Here is a 22919-nt window from a genome sequence, read left to right on the forward strand (position 1 = left end):
AAAACCCTCCCTGGGAATGGCCGGGCGCGGTGGCTCACGCCTGTAATCCCAGCACTTTGGGAGGCCGAGGCTGGAAGATCACGAGGTCGGGAGATCGAGACCATCCTGGCTAACACAGTGAAACCCCATATTTACTAAAAATACAAAAAATTAGCCGGGCGAGGTAGCGGGAGCCTGTAGTCCCAGCTACTCAGGAGGCTGAGGCAGGAGAATGGCGTGAACCCGGGAGACGGAGCCTGCAGTGAGCCGAGATCGCACCCCTGCACTCCAGCCTGGGGGACAGCGAGACCCCGTCTCAAAAAAAAAAAAAAAAAAAAAGAAAACCCTCCCTGGGAATGTTGATCTATCAGGGAATATTAACATGCACTAGGAGTTAAATTCAAAAGAGATTGGAAGTTGATTTCATCCAGTCAGGCTATTAACTATTCTTTTGAGGATCCATTTATTTTATTTTACATCATTTACTCTCCCTAGGTTGGTTACAGTCCCCACCTCCCTCTCCCCGATAAAGGATGTATAAGCACCTGGACCTCACTGGGTTATCTGGGTAATCTCTCTCCTCTGATATTTTCCTCTGCATGTTAAATACATTTGTTTGCCTTTTTCTCCTATTATGTGTCTTTTGTCCATTCATTTTAAGCAAACTTTAGAGGGCAAAATCAAACTTTGACATTTCACCCTACGCAAGCAAGTTTCCTTAAAATTCAGGCCCCTGAATGGGCAGCAGGAGGGTGTGTGCAGATGCTACACCAGAGTGATTTGGCCACTTCTACTCAGGAATCAGTAATACTCCCCAGAACCCCAGGCTGCAGGCCACTGATGCTGATGTAGGTGGATCCACTTCCTCTGTTGCTGAACCAGGCTGAGATGATGTGAGATATAATGAGTCCGAATCTGCGTCCAGTTTTATCCAAATCCAAGTGATTTCTCCATATATGTGGGCATTTGCTTGATAGGAGATGGAGACTCTCTTTCCTGGATGTCAGACAGGAGGCTGGCATCTTGGTCAGAATGTCCCCTCTTACTGCTAAACAGTGAAAGAGGAAAGTGGCATTGATAGTGCAAGGCAGGGACATGCACTGAGCAGCAGCTGCCCTCACTAGGAGAGAGGGTTCACTGTCCTGATCTTTCCCAAGTTCTCTCCTTTATGTGTTCTCCAGAAATCCAGACTCCAGAGCACCCAGGGACAGGCTGGTGGGCAGTGCAACTCAGAACATTACTCAGTGGATATGGTATTGGTCTTCTTACTTTAGAGACAATTGATCCTTAGGTAATTTCAAGTTTATCTTAATCCATGCTCCTATAATTGGAGGAAGAAACAAGTAACTTTTTTTTGAAGTAATCAGATCCGGCATCACTAGTCAGCGCTTCCTGCTGATAAACCCTGGGGAACATACCCAATGACAGAAAAGGAGGTATAATATAGAGATCCCCAAAGCAAAAATAAGATGCAGCTCATATAATCTCTGGGCATTATTGAGGTCTATAGGTTTGCATAAATGTGCAACTGTAAGTGGTACACACATTAAGGACTTATAGCACCATCTTTGTGCACCTGCAGTGAATTGCTTGACCTTACACTGATAATAAGAATGGTTTAAGGTTATTATAGAATACTTACAAATATATTTAGCATTATCTTGATATTTTTCCTTTTTTTTTAAGAAGGAACAATTACACACTCACAGAAATGTAACTATACCACAAAGTACCCCCCTCCCTTTCAGAGTATTTTTAAGACCTGCTGATTCCACACTCTAAAAACTTTACTTTGAGTTTCCTACAGAGAACAATTTCTCCCAAATAATCCCCATACGCCAATGGAATACATTACTCCCTCAAGTACTCAGCAGTATTTCAAATTTCGACAATTATCAAAAAATATTCTTTGTTTCAAATTGACCCCCAGCAAGAAACAGATTAAAGACAAATCTGTGTTGCCCTGGTCCGACCTGAGATCCTGAGGACACTGTCCTTGTGCTGAGTTACTGAGATGAGCCAGCCCTGCAGCTGTGCCCAGTGGGCCCCATCCCCTGCTGATTTGCATGTTCCCAGAGCCCAGCCCCCTCCCTGCCCTGAAGACTTTTTTATAGGCTGGTCACACCCTGTGCAGGAGTCAGTCCCAGCCAGGACACAGCATGGAAATGAGGGTCCCCGCTCAGCTCCTGGGGCTCCTGCTGCTCTGGCTCCGAGGTAAGGAAGGAGAACACTAGGAATTTACTCAGCCAGTGTATTCGGTACTGGCTGGATTTTCAGGGAGGGCTTCTCATAACGTGATTGATTGTGTGGATGTTTGTTTTTATGCTTCCAACCTCAGGTGCCAGATGTGACATCCAGGTGACCCAGTCTCCATCTTCCCTGTCTGCGTCTGTAGGAGACAGAGTCACCATCACCTGCCGGGCAAGTCAGGGCATTAGCAATGGGTTATCCTGGTATCAGCAGAAACCAGGGCAAGCCCCTACGCTCCTGATCTATGCTGCATCCAGTTTGCAGTCGGGGGTCCCATCTCGGTTCAGTGGCAGTGGATCTGGGACAGATTTCACTCTCACCATCAGCAGCCTGCAGCCTGAAGATGTTGCAACTTATTACTGTCTACAGGATTATACTACCCCATTCACAGTGTTACAAGCCATAACAAAAACCCCCCAGAGAAGCAGATGTGTGAGTCTGCACTGTCCTAGCTACTCCTCCTGGTGCCTCCATCTGCTGAGAACATTTCCCAAATTGCATCCACACTTTGAAGTTTCTGTAGAAAGTGACATGAAGCCTCCTCTATACCTTAACTATCTTTCCTTCACGGCATCCCCAGCGGCACAGACAGGGCAAACCCTCTCCTGATTGCATTAAGAACAGAGATGATTACACCTACGAAGTCTGAGTTATGGTGTGAGTTGGAATTAATATCATAAAGGAGACACCACTCTTGGAATTCCAAGTAGAATTTTTCTTCTAAAAACAGGAATGAGAGTCTAAACTACAGTCTTTAAAAGTCTTGATGGCATGAGAATGAAGATGCAAATGCAAAAAAGAGGGATTCTCTGGATCTCGCCATGAATCCAGAATGTATCTGCCACTTCAGAAGGTATAATTGCCAATCATGTGGTCCTCAGACATGTCTGGGAAGCCCAGGTTTGGGGCTGCTGATGCTCTCTGCCTGGAGAACCTGCCTGATTTTCTAAGGCACCTGCTTAACTGTTGACCAGCAAGGGTCCTGTTCCAAAGAGACCTAGCCAAAGAGAATGATCAGAGTAAAAGGCCAATTCCTTCCAATGCCTTCCTGGCCCCATTTTCCCTGAATCCTCCCTGTTAATTATAAAAACTCTTTCATGGCTCTTACCTCAGACTCACCGGGCTCCCAACTCTCGGGTTTCCTAGTTCTGCCCTAAACAAGCCTCACACTGTCCTGCCCTTGGAGCTTTACTCTCACTGCTCCCTCAGGGGTGAGGCTTTTCCCCAGACCCTTGGGTTCCTTCCCTCACTCCCAAAGCCAACCCTGTGCTTCCCATCTTAATGATCCCTCTGTATGTGTTCATAGGACACCCTACTCCATGCTTTTGTCAGAAGCACTTTTCGCCTTCTGACTTATGATATAATTTATTTACTTATGATTTTACACTTGATAGGCTGACTCCCTCTAGTGGAATTTGAGCTTCATGGGATCAGGGGCCATTGTCTATTATTTGCATTGCTGCATCCCAGTGTAATGGGAGTACCTGGCAAGCAGTAGGTGCTCAGAGTGGGGCACTCTTCCCAGGAGTCTGCATGTCTAGAAGTCTGGGAGGATTGTAAAGAGTGGATTAAACTGCTTGTTATATGGACAATGTTCCCTTTTCCTTTTTTTTATTCATTTTACTTACCCAGTCTTTAGGAAATAAGGAAAATTACAATTCTCAGAACTTATATACTTTGTCTCAAGTGGTATTTTAGGTTGTATTTCCTGAAAACATACAATAATAATACAACATTATCATACTTAATTGATTATATTATACTAATATGTAATGACATGTAATATGTACTATGTAAGTTATAACAATAGTAGATTTATTGACTTTCCATTTAAAAGACAAAACTTACCAGATTATATCAGGAGTCAGATAATTGATATTTCAGGTTTGTTGGCAAAGAAAGAAAACTGAATACATTACTTAGATACATACATAAGAAAGAAAACACATTTTCACTATTGTTATTAATAATTTTAAATGGAATGTGATTTAAAGAGCTTCTCAGCCTGTTCAGGGGAACCTCACTCACCACTACATGTTCACAACTCTGAGGAAAACAAGAAAACCCCAGATAAGATTCTTGTTTCCATCAGTGGTGTGAACAGAGGTTTTCAAAACTGTTAAAAGGAAAAGAGTCTGAGTCTGTGTGAAAGGCTGTGTTGTGCAGAGTGGAGTGCTCTATAGAAGAGAAGATACCACCCCCATTTTTCCTGGCCAGGTGGATGCACCATCATCTGTCTGCAGGGAGTGGAATCACACAATGATGAGTCTGAGCCTGGAGTCTGCTTATCTTTGCAGCTGTGGTCACTCATGCACCCACAGTGCTTGGCCTAACAAAGTGATGTCCTTTACTAGTTCTTCCAAAGAATGGAACGTTTTCAGGGCTCATAGAAAAGATGTCTAAGCTGCGAAGGAAAAGTGTGTATAGAAGATGAATTTCTGATCAATGACTTCAGCCAGGTGCAATCATGCAGCAAGGAAGATGAATGGGCATGTTGCAGGAAGAAAGAGAAAAAGAAACCATAGGTTTTTATTTTTTCTTTCAAGAGATTTGTACTAAACACCATCTGTCTGAGCCTAGGTTATTGGTGAGGTAGGAGGACAGGGATTAAATTGTGAGTCCAGAGAGGAGAAGGTCTACCCCCATGCTAAGTCAATAGCCTTTCTGACTTGACCACCTGGGCAGGGGCTTCTCAATGAAAAGAAGAGGAGGCAGGTGGTCTCTGTAGCTGGAAGCTCCGCACCTTCCCATGCTTCTTTGCATGTTCCTCCCAGCCACGCTGGTGTCCGGAGCCCATATCAATGCCTAGGTCAGACCTCAGGGGAAGAGCTACTCAATTAGGACCCAGAAAGATTCATGGAAGCCCCAGCTCAGCTTCTCTGTCTCCTGTTACTCTAGCTCCCAGGTGAGAGGAAGAGGAGATGGCCCTGCACTGAAACTCTCTCAACCTTCTTGGTTCCTCTGACCTGGCATCAATACCTTCTTTCCACATCCTCCCAAGCAGCAGCCACTGTTGTGCGGCCTGGGAAGGGGTTGCCTCCCAGCCCCAACTCTGCATCATCACAGATCCAGGCTCCAGGACCTCATCCTGTGTTGGCAACTCAGACCCTGAGCCATTTCCATGTGGACCAGCCCCACCCCAGGCCCAGAGCTGCTGTCACTACAAGTGCACCCACACTCCAGAGCCTGGCCCTGAGGCTGCTCTGGAAATTGCCTAAGACATAACATAAATGGAGAATGTACAGCAACACAGTAGAGTGAAATGCAGAGAATAACCACACAGAAAGCATCTCTGGGAGATGGCACACCTGAGAGACCTGAGAAATATTGAAAATGTGTCAAGAGTAATGAAACACATTAGTCTATAAGATCAAAAAAATGGAACTTATCCAGGATAAACATCAAGACATGCATCACTATACAGATTATAGTTCAAATGCTAAATCACATACAAAGAGAAAATCTCAAGTGTATTAAAAAAAACTGGTTCATTATACCAGGGAAACAGTAATAAAACCTCGATTAACTGTTTATGGGACCAATAGAGGCAAGAAGACAGTGAGATTACATACTTACATGCTGGGTGGAGGGCACTCAACCAAGGATTCATTATCCAGTGAAAATATGCTTCAAAAATAAAGGTAAAGTAAAAACACTTATTTATGAACAAAATGAAGAGAAATGATTTCTTGTAGATATGCTCTATATATATTCAAGAGGCAATTTTTCAGAATCACAGGAAATGAGAGCAGATAGTAAGTTGAATGCACAGAAATAAATGAAGATTTCATAAATAGTAAAGAAAAGAGCAAGATGCAAGAAAAACAAAAGAAAAACAGCATCTGTGATACTAATCTTTTAGAAAATTATTACACTGCTAATAAAATGTGAAGTGTGGATTCATGCCACTGAGCTTAGGTTATTGCCTCCACTATTTTTGAAATGCTAGTGCCCATGATGTCCTGATGCAGGAACTCATCTCTTAACAAAACAATACAGCCATATACAGAAAAAATAAGGTCCTTTTTCACCCATTCTGGTGTAGGGTAGCTCAATCAATTAAAAGAAATTGCAAAGGCTATATGCTATGGTTTGGGTGTTTGTCCTCTCCAAACCTCATGTTGAAATATGATTCCCAGTATTGAAGGTGGGGCCTAATGGGAGGTGTTTGGATCATGAGGACAGATCCCTCTTGAATAAATTAATTCTGTCTCTTGGAGGTGAGTCCTTACTCAGTTCCCATGAGAGCTGGTTGTCACAAAGAGCTGGTATCTCCCCATCTTCTTGCTTCCTCTCTCTCCATGTGATCTCTGCACATACCAGCTCTCCTTCACCTTCTACCATGAGTGGACACAGCCTGAGGGCCTCACCAGAAGCTGAATAGATGCTGGCACCAGGCTTCCCGTATAGCCCGCAGAACCATGAGCTAAATAGACCTCTTTTCTTAATAAATTACCCAGCCTCAGGTATTCCTTTATAGCCACACAAAAGGACTAAGACACCCTATCACTGGAGTCCACTCAGACTACCAGGTGAGATAAATCCAGGAGCTTCCAGGTTCTTTGTTCTTGATTCTGGCAATGGGTCCAAATAAAAGACAATGAAAGGATATGCTATTGGCTACTTTGTCATTTCGTCTTCCTGCTTCCTACCTAATGACCTGAATGCACATGTGCTCCCGCTGTCAGTCTCCCCACTGTGAACAACTCTCCTTTCTCTTTACGAACCTCCTCTGCCCTGGGCAGGCTGGTGACCACACTGCTCTGGGCCAGATACTGTGCCCAGTACAGAGAGGAGGTGCACGAGGAAATGATAAGGCACATCTCTGCTTTGGAGAATCTCATTGCCCAAGAAGACATATAGACAAGTAAACCAGTTACAGAAATAATGGTTAAGGTACACTGGTGGGACGAAGAAGGGACGAATCAGTTTTGCCTAAGATTGGAGGATGCTGGGCAAAAAAGGCTTCAGAGAAGAGGAGGTATTTGGAGAGTGCATTGAAGGTTGAATAGAAGGTTTAGAGAATCAGAATTTGCCTAGTGTACAGAAAGAAAAATTGAAAGGCAGTGGACGGCCATCAGTAGAAGGGTGTGAGGCACAAGTTATTGAGGTACATGAAGAGACTGACAGTCATGATCCTTATGAAGCATTAGTTGAAGGGTCACAGAGGTACGCATAAGTATACCAATGGTAATGCTGCTGGAAGAGTAGCCAGGGGACTGGAGAAAAGAAGGCACCATGTTATGTGCTGGGACCTCATTCATTCTTCATGTCATAAGGAGCCAATTCTTCTCTGGACTTTTCCACATTCCATGCAAAGTCTGTCTGGCTTCCTGTCCATTTACTTTCTGGTCATTCAAGGCCTACCACTGTCCGGTGTCCAGTTGCTCCTCACATGCAGATGGAAAACCTGGGCCAGGTCAAAGTCTGAAGACCTAGAGAACTGGGCAGAGCTCTGGGCAGTGTGGGATCTGCCCACACCTCTCAGAGAGAGGAACTGAGGTGGTTGTTCTGAGAGGCAGTGAGCAGGGAGACCCCGAAGCCAAAGGCTGGCAGGATCCAGCAGGGCAGAGGCCAGCAGGGGAATTCAGGGAAGAGCCTCAGGGCTGACAATGGGGACACCTGACTACAGTCAAGGGGATTCAAAGCACAGCCTGGAACCTGGAGGAATCCCCTGGAACATGGACACAGAAATGCGGACAGCTGAAGCCATGACCTTGACCACAGGTAGGGAGCTTGCAGTTAGGGACAGGAGCCAACTTTACTTAGACATAACTCAAATTCATTTCATTTCTGAAGGAAATGAAATTTCCTTCATTTTCACCTGGTTGGAATTTATTGCTCTCTCCTTAATGGTGCATAGCACCTTGTTTATTTATGCTTTGAGTAATTGTAATATGCCTTGTTTTATAGTATTTTTATACATTTCTACTTCAACTCTTGATTATAAATTTGTTAAGGCAGGGAATATCTATCTATCTGTCTATCTTATCTATCTATCATCTACACACACTAATGGTATTTTAGCTATAGCATACATAAATACATAGGTACATTTTGTTGAATTGAAATTAAGTGAATTAATCCCATCCTCTTTCAGAATAGAAATTATGTTTTCTGGGAGCTAGAAACTATTGTGAGAGATGTTAGTATTGTTGAAATTTAAAAGGGGCTGTCCAGTTCAGTTGTGGCCTGGTGTGTACTGAATGACATCCAAATTCTAAGTAAGTGGAATTGCTATCAGATCTGAAATAAATTAGCCATGCTCGTGAGAAGATGTAGAGTGAGGAATTCCTTCCACAAATGCTCTGTTTATCTGATTATTGGTTAGCCAGTGATTTCCTGTCATCCACAAAAAAAGAGGAAATAGTAAGAGAAAAGTAAATACTAGGTGAAGTGCTTTGAGCCAAAGGGAGTCCATATAAGAAGTGATGGATGGCTCTGTTGGGATCCCGGCAGTAGTGCATGATGATGTTGTTGTATAAATACGTCAGCTCCTTTAACCCTCGGGGGACCCTGAAGCATGTGTTTTTCATGGGCCCCTAGCGTGCTCATGCGGGATTAAGTTTCAGTTGCCTACTGTGGTAATTGGCTTGAGAAGCCTATCTTTATTAATTTTCTCCTCTTCCTTGTCTTATTTCTCTTCTCCCCTACCTGTGTTCTCTTCATTCCCTTCCTCCCTACAAAATAAACTATGTGAGTTTGAATTCTTGTTTCAGGATTCAAGTTTGCTCCTGGGGAACCAAATTAAGACTAAAGAATATGTATTCTCTTTCTTCTCATTTGGCGTTGAGACATTTTAAAGCCTCAACAATTTTCCCTATATAAGCAGTTCCAATTATTTGTGCCTGACTTATAAAAAGTAGGTAATGAGAAAATTAAGGCTTGCAGACAAATCTTACACAATTGCAGCAGAATATCTCAGAAATGTGCCCAATTCTGAGACAGAAAGAAAAGAAAAAAAATCCCACATCTTTATTATGGTTTCCCAATGCCTCTTCAAAGCGCATTAAGTAGGTGTAATCCTCGCCCCTCCCATACGATAGTGGGCAGACCCCATGACTTTTACTAGCCAAGATAATAATCAAAACTCCACCTTATCTTTAATGGCAAACCTTCCTCCAGTTGGAGTGTGCTTTGGGCTGTCCACCGGTGGTGGGAAAGAGAGGAAAGGAGGTATGGTCGGTGTCTTCTCTCCACTTTGTGCCATTTCTCTTTTCTTCTCCCATCTCAGCTGGCCCACCATTTCTGACCTCTTGCTGTTGGAGGAATGCTAAGGAACAAGAAAGCTCTTACAGAATGGACACTGATGTAATCTGGTTTTGCACATTCTATGCCTGGTGGTTGTTCAAAACTGACGCTTTTCCTGGGGCTTGCTTGGGTCCTTTGGAAGACTGTTCCCAGAAGACTTCTCTCCTACAGGTCATCGTACCTGGTTCATGCATCTCTAGTTGCATGCGTTCTTGGTGTTTACTTGTGACACATTTGTAGCCCCCGTCTAGCTTCCTGCTGGTAGGGCCCTCCGCTCTCTAAGTGATTGTACTGGACAGAACCCCAAATGACCCTTGGCTGGATCTCTCCCACATGGCACACATCTGCTCTACTGAAAATGCTCATGACTTTCCTGGCCCGAGAAGCCTTGCTGATTCCAATACCACCTTACCCTGGTGCCCCAGGCTACTTTAGCATCGTTGGGCCAGAGTCAGGCAGCATCCTCTGGGTCTCCCAGCTCCATTTAAGTTCATGAAAATGGTCATTTAAGCTTTCTGAAAGGTGTCTTAAGAAGCCTTGTTAGAAGTAGCAGCCCTTCCTCATTTTTCTTCCCTATAAGCAGAAGTGGGAATTCTCCTTGATAAAATCCTCCCCCCAAAAATATCTTCAAAAATCTTGTGGAATCCAATAGTCATGGAAATGGTTCTCAGAATTTTCATGATAAGGTCTGCATATGGTGATCTGGTTTTGGAATACCCCTTTTGTTGTATTCGATTATCCCAGGGAAACTTTTTTTTCCAACATCCTGTTACTATAGTTTCAGATATCCTGCCATTAGGCCATATTTGGGGTGATAATTCAGGGCACTTTCGCCTGTATGGGGGGCCTCTTGGAGAGAGGAGCATATTATTGAAAACAGTAAGCAGTTAACGCTTTATTTTGCTATATTATTTTATTGGTAAAATTTATTTCAATGCAAAACATATACAGAGACAAGTACACGGTGGTAAATGTATAGCTCAATAAAGCTAATGAAATAAACACACCAATGTAACAGATCAAGAAAGAGGACATTACTAGCTTCCAGATGCCCTATCATGTGGCTTCCCAGTTTAGTTCCCTCAAGGATAATGAATATTCTGACTATTAATGTCATAGATCAGTTTTATCTTCTTTTGAAGTTTATGTAAGTGGAATCTTTTCTGTCTGGTCAATATCATGTTTCTGAGATTCATCTATATTGTTGCCTTTAGTTGGAGACTGTTCATTCTCATTACTGGATGGCCATCCTATGAATATACTTGGGCAGTTAATATTTGGTCAATTAATTTCTTCCCTCAAGGGTAGCTCAAAAGTTGACCATGGCCTCCCTACACCGTCCCTGATTTCAATCTGAATCCACAGGAAGAGTCTCACCTTACTCTAATGACTTGCATTGAATATCAGAACACAGAAGTTGGATTTTTTCCAATTTTTAAACAATGTGCAGAGGTAGGCTTTTTCAGGGTAGCAGTTTATTATTTATTTCCATACTTTGTGTTTTATCCCATCAATCTGCTCTTTCAATTTGGCTTAGAGTTATAGAATGTTCGAGCTGGAGAAACCACATTTTCTGAGAAACATTTTATATAAATTCTGATAACAGTTGTATGAACTTCTATTTCTTCAAGAATCATGATAAGTTTTATCACATAGGTCCCAAGAAAAATCTAGGTACAGTAACAACTGGAGATCAGGAATATTTTTCTAAATATTTCTTGCATTGTACTTTTATAATGAGTCTTTTTTCAATTAAAGTGAAAAGCATCAAAGCATGATAGATTTTTTACCTGAGAATAAAATGGTCTTTTCATTTATATTTGAATAAAAATTCAAATTTTAAACTTCACCATAAAATTCAGTAATGTTGACAACTTGTCAGCACTTACTTCATAGATTGATACCCACACTATAATTTAGAATGTGAAAGTTAAAATAGTATCTACACCCTGAATAATAAATAATATGCACTAAAGACTTTTCTTTTATGGAACTCTATTTGGCAAATGCTAAAATATCATTGGAACATTACTTTAGATTAGAAAATATTTTATTAATAATTCAGACAGAGTGTGTTATAGTTTGGCTGTGTCCCCCCCAAATCTGATCTTGAATTGCAGTTCCCATAATCCCCACATGTTACCCAGTGGGAGGTAATTGAATCATGGGGGCGGTTAGCCCATGCTGCTATTCTCATGATAGTGAGTGAGTTCTCATGAGATCTGATGGTTTTATCCAGGACTTTTCCCCCTTTTGCTCAGCACCTCTCCTTGCTGCTGCCATGTGAAGAAGGATGTGTTTGCTTCCCGTTCCGCCATGATTGTAAGTTTCCTGAGGCCTCCCAGAACTATGAGTCAATTAAATATCTTTCGTTTATAAATAGCCGAGCACTGTGAGAATGGACTAATAAATACGAGTGTCTTAATCCATTTTGCATTGTTATAAAGGAATATCTGAGGCTAGGTAATTTAATAAAATAAGACATTTATTTGACTCACGGTTCTTCAGGCTCTGCAAGAAGCATGGCACCAGCATCTGCTTCTGGTGAGGACCTCATGAAGTTTCCAACCATGGGGGGAGGCCAAGAGAGAGCAGGCATGTCACATGGCAAGGGAGGGAGCAAGAGAGAGGGGAGGAGTGCCATGCTCTTTTAGGCAGCCAGATCCCACAGGAACTAAGAGTGAGAATTCACTCAATCCTAACATAATGACACCAAGCAACTCATGAGGGATCTGCCCCCCTGACCCAAACACCTCCAACTAGGCCCCACCTCCCACATTAGGGATGAAATTTCAACATGATATTTGGAGGGAACTAATATCCAAACTATGTCATAGAGGTATGTGTGTAACCTCATTCATTTATGCATTCATTCAACAAAATATGTAGTGAGCACCTGCTATGTGCCAGGCACTGTGCTAGGCTGTAGATATGACTCATAAATAAGATGAATATTGCCACAGTCCTTAGGAGCCTAGTGTAGTTGGGGAGTAAATAAGCAAACAGATAATTTCTATACCTGGTAATTACTACTTTGATAGGGCAAAGAGGATTCTGTTTGTGCTGTAAAAGCACATGAAAAGTACAAAGTCAATCCTTGGGAGGTCATGGAATCTTTCCTAGGAAATGATATATAAGGTGGATAAAAAGGTAACCAGATACAGATGAGAAGAGAAGGTGGGCCAGAAATTTTGAAATACTGAACCAACTGGATGTCATTCACTGACATAGGGTAAATAGTATAGATGACTGGATTGGAAAAGGAAAAAGGAACTAAAAGTAATTAAATGAGCTGCAGACATGAAAATGAACACTTGGGAAGTCCTGGCAGGAAGTCATCAATAAGACAACATAACGAAGTGGAAAGTGGTTGGGAGTAAGGCTGACTTGGATTCAAACCCTGGTTTCACCACTTAATAGACGTGTTAAGTTGAACAAACCCTTTAACTTTTCAGAGCCTCAATTTTCCTCTTTGTAAAATACAGATAATAACATGGACACTATAAGGGTTTTGTTGTTGTTGTTGTTGTTTTGAGACGGAGTCTTGCTCTGTTGCCCAGGCTGGAGTGCAGTGCCTCGATCTTGGCTCACTGCAACCTCTGCCTCCTGGGTTCAAGCGATTCTCCTGCCTCAGCTTCCAGAGTAGCTGGGACTACAGGCGCGCGCCACCATGCCTGGCTAATTTTTGCATTTTTTGTAGAGACGGGGTTTCACCATATTGGCCAGGCTGGTCTCGAACTCCTGATCTCAGATGATCCGCCTGCCTTGGCCTCCCAAAGTGCTGGGATTACAGGCGTGAGCCACCGCACCTGGCCCAGACACTGTAAGTTTTGGGGAGGATTAAATGGGATCATCCATGTAAATGCGCCTATCCCAGTCTCTAGCACACACTGAACACTCAAAAATGGGAGGTTTTCGTATTTCAGAAGAAAATCACGTGTCGGGGAGTGTTAGTAGTAACCTTGAACTATATGCAAAGACTAAAGCTAGGAACATAGGAAGAATTTTACAAGATCCTTTTGGCTATATAGTTAACGTTATTAGCAGTTAGAGTTTCCCTTACAGTTGACAAGTGAACCATAAAAGTGAATGACTTGTGGTTCCTCAGATAAAAGCACGAGTCAGAGTTGTAATTTCTGTTTTGTGGACGTAATTGTTGACCAAGTGCACTGAATGTAGGGATGGCCAGTAGCAAAATTATAAAGCAGGCCTGTTTGTCTTCAAACACTCCTGAGTAAACTTGTCATTTCCTTGTAAAAATGCAAAATAGACTACTGAGTAGAGGTGATCAATTATAGAAATGCACTTACTTTGGCTTTCTTCTGAAACCTAATAAAATGACAGTAAAGGGATTATTTTTTTAAGGCAGAAGCCCACAATGATGATGAAATTAGAAAGGAAGACAAGAACAACAAGGTTGTGGAATTCAGAAGCCATATAGACAAGAGGTAACACACCTGAGAAAGATGATCCCTAAATTTGTCTTGGAGAAAACTCGGAAGTACCTGACTACATCATAGACCTCCCAAACAGCTTCCAAATGTCAGATACCACTGAAAATGGGGATAAAGGTAGGGTCAAAAATAGGAGGATTGGGTTATAAGTCTGTATAAGAAGTTGTTAGATCCCTACATCCTCTCTTCAAACCTGTATAGCCAGATAATGGTCCCTCTCCCAGCCTGGCAGAGGCTGGATAAGGTAAATAGAGAAAGTTACCTCCTGGAGAACATTTGGCACATTTGGGGATGGAGTTCAGTAATATAAATGAAGGGGTAGTGAAAATTTATGGGAACATTTATAACCTAACAGAACCCCATGTCTTTTACCCCATTCTAATTCCAGACCACTAGAGATTAGAAAATTGTTCTCTGGGGTATCTGACCACTTCCAGAGGAAAGACATAAAGATGCTGATGTCAAGAATGACCCAACTAAACGGCCCAGCCAGATGACCCAGTTGAAGCTGGTGGACAAGAAGTTTCATTCATGGAATCAGAACTTCCAATAAGGTCTTTTAGTACCTCACTCCTAAATTTGAATAGACTACCAAATATTATCAGACATCTAAGGAGAACTACGAGCATGAAAGGTAGAGACCAAAGCAAACAAACAAACAAAGAAAATAATTTGGAACTAACCAAGACTATGCTGGGAGAAGAAAACTATTATTAATATCCACAGAGCATAGTACAGCCACTATAGAGAACAGTATGGAGGTTCCTCTAAAGACTAAAAATAGAACCATCATAATTCAACAATCCCACTGCTAGATATATACCCCAAAGAAAGGAAATCAGTATATTGAAAAGATATCTGCACTCTCATGTTTACTGTAGCACTATTCATAATAGCCAAGATTTGGAAGCAACTTAAGTGTCCATCAACAGATGAATAGATTTTTTTAAAATGTGGTACATATACACAATGGAGTACTATTCAGCCATAAAAAAGAATGAGAAATGTCATTTGCAACAACATGGTTGGAACTGGAGGACCTTATGTTAAGTGAAATAAGCCAGGCCCAAAAAAGCAAATTTCACATGTTCTCACTCATTTGTGGGACCTAAAAATGAAAACAGTTGAACTCAGGGAGATAGAGTAGGATGATGGTTACCAGAGGCTGGAAGGGTAGTTGTGGTGGGAGGTGGGTGGTTAATGAGTACAAAAATATAGTTAGATAGAATGAATAAATCTAATAGTTGCTAGCACAACAGGGTGACTACAGTCAACAATAATTTACCATACATTTAAAATAACTAAAAGAGTATAATTGGCATGTTAGTTACACAAAAAAAGGATAAATGCTTGAGGCAACGGATATACCATTTACCTGGATTTGGTTATCACACATTGTATACTTGCATTAAAATACCTGCTGGGCACGTGGCTCATGCCTGTAATCCCAGCACTTTGGGAGGCTGAGGCGGGCAGATCACCTGAGGTCGGGAGTTTGAGACCAGCCTGACTAACATGGAGAAACCCGTCTCTACTAAAAATACAAAGTTAGCTGGGCATGGTGGCTCATGCCTGTAATCCAAGCTACTCGGGAGGCTGAGGCAGGAGAATCACTTGAACCTGGGAGGCGGAGGTTGCAGTGAGCCGAGACCGCACCATTGCACTCCAGCCTGGGCAACAAGAGTAAAACTCCGTCTCAAAAAAAAAAAAAAAAAAATCTTATGTTCCCCATAAATATAAATACCTATTATGTACCAATAAAAGTAAAAAGTAAAAAGTTTCAATTGATTCACAACTTTAAAAAATATCCACAGAGGCGTAAGAGGAGATATTGTATTGCACCCACGAACCAGTCTTATGCTGTTTAAGAAAGGGACATTCAAGAAACAAAAAGGGAGCTCTGGGAAATTTGAACACTAAATAATAGTAGAATAAAAAATTCAGAGAAAGTTTGGATGATAAATTTGAGCCAATCTCCCAGTAAGCAGAGCAAAAATATAGAAAATGAGAGTTAGAAAAGAAAAAGAAAAAAATTAAAGGACTAAAATAAGAAGTCCAACATCTAAATAAGAGGAGATCCACAAAGAGCAACAGAGATAAGAGAAGAAAGGAAATAATCAATAAAATAATTCCAGAAAATCCAAGGACATGAGTTCTCAGATTGTAACAGACTACTCGAGTGAAAAAAAAAAAAAAAGAATGGAGTTAGACCCATCCCAAGGCACATTATTTGTGCGATTTTAAAATACCGATATATTAGTTTGCTAGAGCTGCAGTAACAAAACACCACAGACTGGGTGGCTTGAACAGCAGAAATTTGTTTTCTCATGGTTCTGGATGCTAGAAGTCTAAGATCGAGGTGACAGCAGTTTCGTTTTTTCCTGACGCTTCTCTCCTTAGCTCACAGATGGCTGCCTTCTAGTTGTGTCCTCATACTGTCTTCCCTTGGTCAGTGTTGTCTGTGTCCTCGTCTCCTCTTCTTAAAAGGACACCAGTCATATTAGGTTAAGAATTGCCCATTAGACCTCATTTTACCTTAATTACCTCTTTAAAGGCCCCACGTCTAAATACAGTCATATTCTAAACTACTGGGGGTTAGGGCTTCACTGAGTGAATTTTGGTGGAAAGTGGGGCAGGGGACACAATTCAGCCTACAAAAACTGGAAACAAAGTGAAAATCCTATGTGTTTCTGTGCTCAGAAGACAGGAAGTAGTCATACACAAGAGTCAATAATTAAACTGGTTTCTCACCAGCAATTTGGGAGACTGGAAGTTGGAAGACACAGAGCAGTGCCTACCACATTCAAAAGAGAAAAGAGGCCGGGCATGGTGGCTCACGCCTGTAATCCCAGCACTTTAGGAGGCGAGGAGGATGGATCACCAGGTCAGGTGTTCAAGACCAGCCTGACCAACATGGTGAAACGCTGTCTCTACTAAAAATACAAAAATTAGCTGGGCATGGTGGAACACGCCTGTAATCCTAGCACTTTGGGAGGCCACAGAGGGCAGATCACCAGGTCAGGAGTTTGAGACCAGCCTGACCAACAAGGTGAAACCCCATCTCTACTAAAAATACAAAAATTAGCCAGGCGTGGTGGCGCATGCCTGTAATCCCAGCTACTCAGAAGGCTGAGACAGAAGAATCACTTGAACCCAGGAGGTGGAGGTTGCAGTGAGCCGAGATCGTGCCACTGCACTCCATCCTGGGTGACAGAATGAGACTCCGTCTCAAAAAAAAAAAAAAAAGAGAGAGAAAAGAATTCCAACCCAGAATTCTCAACTTCACTGTGTCAGAGGATATGAAGTAAACAAATATTCATCTCTACATTTGCCAGTCCCTGTGGACTTAGGCCAGATAGTATAAATAATAGTCACAAAAGGAGTATGAATGGGATAAGAAGCCACTTCTAGTCTGAGACAATTAAGAGTAGTAGTGCCTTCTCTGCACTCTCACCCCTCATTCTGACAGCTGAAGTGAAGGACTCCCAACTTCTGGAACTGCCCAATGAAAGTAGCCTTGTGTGAGTGTTAGCTGGCCTGCTTTGGTCTGGGATGCAAGTAGAAATAAACTCCTGTCATATTAAGCCACTAAGACTTTAGGGATATGTTGCTGTAGCATAGCCTAATGTAGCCTGATTACTGAACGAGCCACCCCATCAACTGAATCTATGTATATACTAAAAACATTTTAAGATATGCAAGGTCTCAAAAGAGTTCACTCGATGCACACTTTTTCTCAGGAAGCTACTAGAGGATGTGCTCCACAAAAAATAAAGGTATAAATTATGAAAGAGGAAAACATAGGATTTAGGAATCAAGGGAATTCAGCACAAGACAGAAGAAAAGGGAATCTGCAGCAAGATCCCTGAGCTGTGCATGTAACATAAGGGGCAACAATTTCCAACACAGAGCAGATCACAAGACCCTAGGATAGATTTCTTGAAGAAAATGAAATTAAAAGAATACTGGATTCATCTGAACATACGAAAAGGAGATTTAAGCAACTTTTTAAGAGCTTGGGAATGAATTAATGATAAATATATGGTATTATGCAACCAAAACTACAATAAAAACTCATTAAAAATTATAACTCATAAAATTATTAATTTCAGGGAAAATAAAAAGTTGAGTAGGAATGAAAAAAGAATCAGAGGATACTATAAAGCTCATCTGTGGATATTGTTTACATAGTCATAATAATGAAAAAGAAATAATCTAACCAAAATTAAATGTTGGAAGTGTGGGGAGATAGAAATGGTAGAGTGTATTCGGTATTTATGTGTTGGGGAGGATACCTGTAAGTTTAACATTAGTGAGCTTTACTTTACTAAGGCTAAATAAACAAACTCAAGTGTCCAGAAAGGCTAGAGAAGGAGCTTACAAGAATGAAGCTATTGTGGTGTGATTCAATGGGGAATAGGTGGGGCATTGGAAACATCAATTTGTAGTATCCCTGCCAATTGATACTACAACATCAATTTGTAGTATCCCTGCCAAAATTTAACTATGGAAAATAGTTAAATTTTAATATGCACACATCTGTGGTTGTGGTTATACAGATATATATAATAAAAATTTATATATAAATAAATACATAAACAAACTCAAGTGTCCAACAGGGCTAGATAAGGAGCTTACAAGAATGAAGCAGTTGTGATGTGATTCAATAGGGAATAGGTGGGGCCTTGGCAAACCAAAGAACATATTCTGTCTAAAGTGGATGGCCACAACTTGCTCCAGCTGTGGAAACTTGGGCCATGTACTGCTAGATCTAAGGATTTTCTTTTGAGAGATGCTAGATATATACGTTTTTTAAAAATAAAATTATCCTGATTTTAACAACATTGCCTTATTATATAAAACATACCTTGGAGGGTGTGGGTAAGACACAATGTCCTTGAAATTATATTTCACTGGGTTAATGAAATTGGCTCCAGAAGAAAATAATTTTAAACAGCAAACCAAAAAGTGAAGGCCTTCAAAACTAACAAACCAAAGGAAAACAAAACAAAATGACAACAAGAAAAAAACAAAGAAACAAAACCCCTGGACCTTACCATTTTTCTAAGGCATGTTGACATGATAAAATCAAAATTGCTTTGTGCTTATAAGGATCAAAGGTTATGCTTTTGACTTTATAAATTCAGAGAAAATTTAATTGGAATTATTTTTATGAATTAACTGAAGATCTAAGGCAACTGGATAATTTAGGTTCTGCTAATATCTAGAATGTTCAAAGTTTATGTTTAGTCTGACACTGAAGAATCCATTATTTCTCTTGACTTCCAGGCTGGTCGGTGTCTTTCCTGTGTCATATACCAAACAATGTGTTAGAAATTGTCTTCTCACTCATAAACTAATATTTGTTCAGAGTAAAAAGTCAAGCAAGTAAATAATGAGAAAAAATTCAGTGTATTGTATAAACAAAGACAGAAGGCAGACCAATGGTTACCTGGGGCCTAAGCTGAAGAGATTAATTGTACGCAGACACAAAGGAATTTTTTGGGATGGTGAAAGTGTTCTAAGACTGGATTGGGATGATTGTGGCACAACTGTATAAATGTTATTAAAACTCCTTGAGTTGTACACTTAAATGAGTGGCTAAGTTGTGCCTTAATAAAGCTGTAATTTTGAAAAAGAATAATGGGTGATCAACTGTGAGCTAGAGTATGATGAAAACACAAGACATTTACATAGTTTCGAAGTATCTCCCCATCAGGTACTTATTAACTGCATCAGGGAAACAGTAATTTTATTGTGGCAGAACCCTGCTGACAAAGTTAACATTCTAGTAAAAGCACAGGTGGATGTCATGTGCCTCCTGAAGTGATGCACAGAGAAGGATGCAACATCAACTTGTAGTATCCCTGCCAAAAATATCTAACCTGAATTTAACCATGCTGAAACATAAGACAAATCCAAGTGAAGGAACATTCTACAAAACAACTGACCAGTACTCCTCAAGAGTGTCAAGGTCCTGGAAGACAAAGACTGAGCAATGCTTCTGATTAAAGTAGACTGAGAGGTGACAACTGAATGCAACGTGGGATCCTGGATTAGATCTTGGCCCAGAAACAGGTCTTCGGTGGGACAACTGGCAAAATGTGAATAAGGTCTCTGGTTTTGTGAATGGTAGCGTATCGACGCTCATTACCTGCTTTTGATCATGGTAGTGATAGTAAGATATTAACATTCAGGAAAACACAGTGAAGGGTATATGGGAATCTCTACTATTTTTGTAACTTTTGTAAGTTGAAATTGTTTCAAAATGAGTTAGAAAATTAAAAGGAAGTTTTCTCTTTCAGCTGGGAAAACGGCAATGGATTAATAACAAGAAATTAATGGTGAAGTGGTGACGAAAATTCTACATTGCTTAGAAAGCAAGTAAGAAAATCAGTGGTTGTAGAGAAGTTCTTACATGAAGTAATAAAAATAAAAATTGTGATGTTAAGCGTTTTCTATTTTCTTTTCCTCCCCTCCAAATGAAACAGCATACTATTCTGCATGTTTTTCTACCTAACAATGTATCTTTTTAACGACTCTTGTGTTTTAAACCTAAAATTTTGATTAAGCTTCACTTAATATTAAAAAAGATAGTATAGGTCACGATGTTATTTGATGCAAACGTTGGAAAGACAGAATCTTCTTGATCCAAGAGCTTTTAGAATTCAAAGTCTGATTCTGGTTATTTCTCTGCTCATTTAAGATAGTGAAATGAACATTTACATTCTGGCAACCTCAGAAGTACAACGAACAGAGGACACCAGCCAGGTAGGGCAAAGGCCTGTGCGCCCCCTTTTGCTGTTACATGTTTATCAGATGCGTGCTCTGTTTCTGTTGTATTACATTACTTTTCTCTTCAATGTCTACTGAGGAAGAACAAGTAGCTCCTCAGGCAAGTCAACTGTTAACTCTGCAGTTTTTATTTAATCTCCCAGGAATGTAACCCTTAACTTTAAAGAATGTAGTGACCATAAAACTTATAAGGCATGTTTCTTAAGGAAATTGTACCTGTTTATTTAATCTATCAGATATGAATGTTATAGAAAATTAAATTTGTCCACTTAAGCTGTAGATGAACTTTTCACCTTTCTGATCAGAAATTCACCATTTTATAGTATAGGTTCTGTTATTAATCAGAATATTTCATTTAGACTCTTTCTATCCAACTTTTTCTTAGAGGCTATTCAAAATAAAGGTGCTTCTAACAGTTTCATATCGAAATACGATGCAAAGCCTTGCTCTTCCATGGTATCCTTTGAGTGAGCCAAACTTATTTAGCCATTCCCCTATAGTTAAATAGCTAGGATGTTTCCAACATCTCACCTTTAAAACAATAGTGCTATGAATGTCATAAATGTTTGTATATGTAAATATGTAGGATAAATCCCTATCAGTAGAATTTCAAAAGGTATACGCAATCAGTATTTTCATACATATTTAAAATTTTCCATCCATACAAAGGTTGCTAACATATTTATTTAAAATTTTAAAAATAATTTTATATGCCTCTTGTAACCAGTAATAGGATGCAAAGTTTTTGTTTTAAGGTAACATTGCTCCTCTTCCCCCATTGTCTCTGTCATCTATAGTACTCCCTAAGGTAGTTCATGTTATTGCAAGGGTGTGTATCATCCCAAACATATTGCTTCCACATACATATATCAGCATACATATATATATATGTATAGCATATATATATATGAGCACATATTAATATATGCCCATGCACATACAAGCATGTTTTTGTTAATTTTTACTGAAATGGAATCATGCTACATACTTATGAACAAATTGCTTCTTTCACCTTATATCACTTATAATTGTTATTCTACAAATCAGTACATATAAAAAATACATATTTACATATGTAATACTCTATCTGTTATAATTTTCTGCATGCACATGTATGCATATACATATATTCATAAACATAAAAATCTAAACGGGATTTTTTTGGGGGGGGTGATATGGTTTGGCTGTGTCCCCACCCAAATCTCATCTTGAATTCCTATGTGTTGTGGGGGGACCCGGTGGGAGGTAATTGAATTATGGGGGTAGGTCTTTCCTGTGCTGTTCTCGGGATAGTGAAAAAGTCTCACGAGATCTGATGGTTTTAAAAAGATGAGTTTCCCTGCATAAGCTCTCTTCTCCTGTCTGGTTCCATGTGAGATGTGCCTTTTGCCTTCCGCCATGATTGTGAGGCCTCCCCAGCCATGTGGAACTGTAAGTCCAATAAACCCCTTGCTTTTGCAAATTGCCCAGTCTCAGGTATGTCTTTATCAGCAGCATAAAAATGAAACAATACAGTAAATTGGTACAAGTAGAGTGGGGCGCTGCTGAAATGATACCTGAAAATGTGGAAGAAACTTTGGAACTGGGCAACAAGCAGTGGTTGGAACAGTTTTGAGGGCTCAGAAGACAGGAATATGTGGGAAAGTTTGGAGCTTCCTAGAGACCTGTTGAATGACTTTGCCCAAAATGCTGACAGTGATATAGACAATAAAGTCCAGGCTGAGGTGGTCTTAGATGGAAACAAGAAACTTGTTGGGAACTGGAGCAATGGTGACTCTTCTTATGTTTTAGTAAAGATACTAGGGGCATTTTGCCCCTGCCATAGATATATGTGGAACTTTTAACTTGAGAGAGATGATTTAGGGTACCTGGCAGAAGAAATTTCTAAGCAGCAAAGCATTCAAGAGGTGACTTGGGTGCTGTTAAAGGTATTCAGTTTTATAAGGGAAGCAGAGCACAAAAGTTTGGAAAATTTGCAGCCTGACAATGTGCTAGAAAAGAAAATCCCATTTTCTGAGGAGAAATTCAAGCTGGCTGCAGAAATTTGCATAAGTAACAAGGAGCTGAATGTTAATCCCCAAGACAATGGGGAAAGTGTCTCCAGGGCATGTCAGAGTTCTTCATGGCAACCCTCCCATCACAGGCCCAGAGGTTTAGGAGGAAAAAGTGGTTTCGTGGGCTGGGCCCAGG

The 22919-nt window shown here is 40.6% G+C and overlaps 1 long non-coding RNA gene and 1 gene segment (V, D, J or C), besides 1 other annotated feature; both read left to right on the plus strand.

The window, feature by feature from the left end:
- Positions 1-21808, plus strand: part of LINC02966 (long intergenic non-protein coding RNA 2966) — a 101028-nt gene extending 79220 nt beyond the window's left edge. Inside the window, exons 3-4 of the long non-coding RNA NR_183358.1 lie at positions 20240-20318; positions 20641-21808. This is a non-coding gene — a long non-coding RNA (long intergenic non-protein coding RNA 2966). The remainder of the gene's footprint in view (positions 1-20239; positions 20319-20640) is intronic.
- Positions 2065-2114: a silencer, noted in NCBI's record as "silent region_11882". NCBI's record gives its function as "represses an Ori minimal core promoter by ATAC-STARR-seq in GM12878 lymphoblastoid cells {active_cell/tissue: GM12878}" and the evidence as "EXISTENCE:reporter gene assay evidence [ECO:0000049][PMID:35858748]".
- LOC124907873 (immunoglobulin kappa variable 1-39-like) lies at positions 2116-3821 on the plus strand. The segment is given in 2 exon segments: positions 2116-2193; positions 2318-3821. Coding segments are annotated over 2 exon segments (576 nt in total).
- Positions 21809-22919: the final 1111 nt, after the last annotated feature.

The sequence above is a fragment of the Homo sapiens genome, chromosome 2 (assembly GCF_000001405.40).
Source record: "Homo sapiens chromosome 2, GRCh38.p14 Primary Assembly".
Classification (NCBI taxonomy): Eukaryota; Metazoa; Chordata; class Mammalia; order Primates; family Hominidae; genus Homo; species Homo sapiens.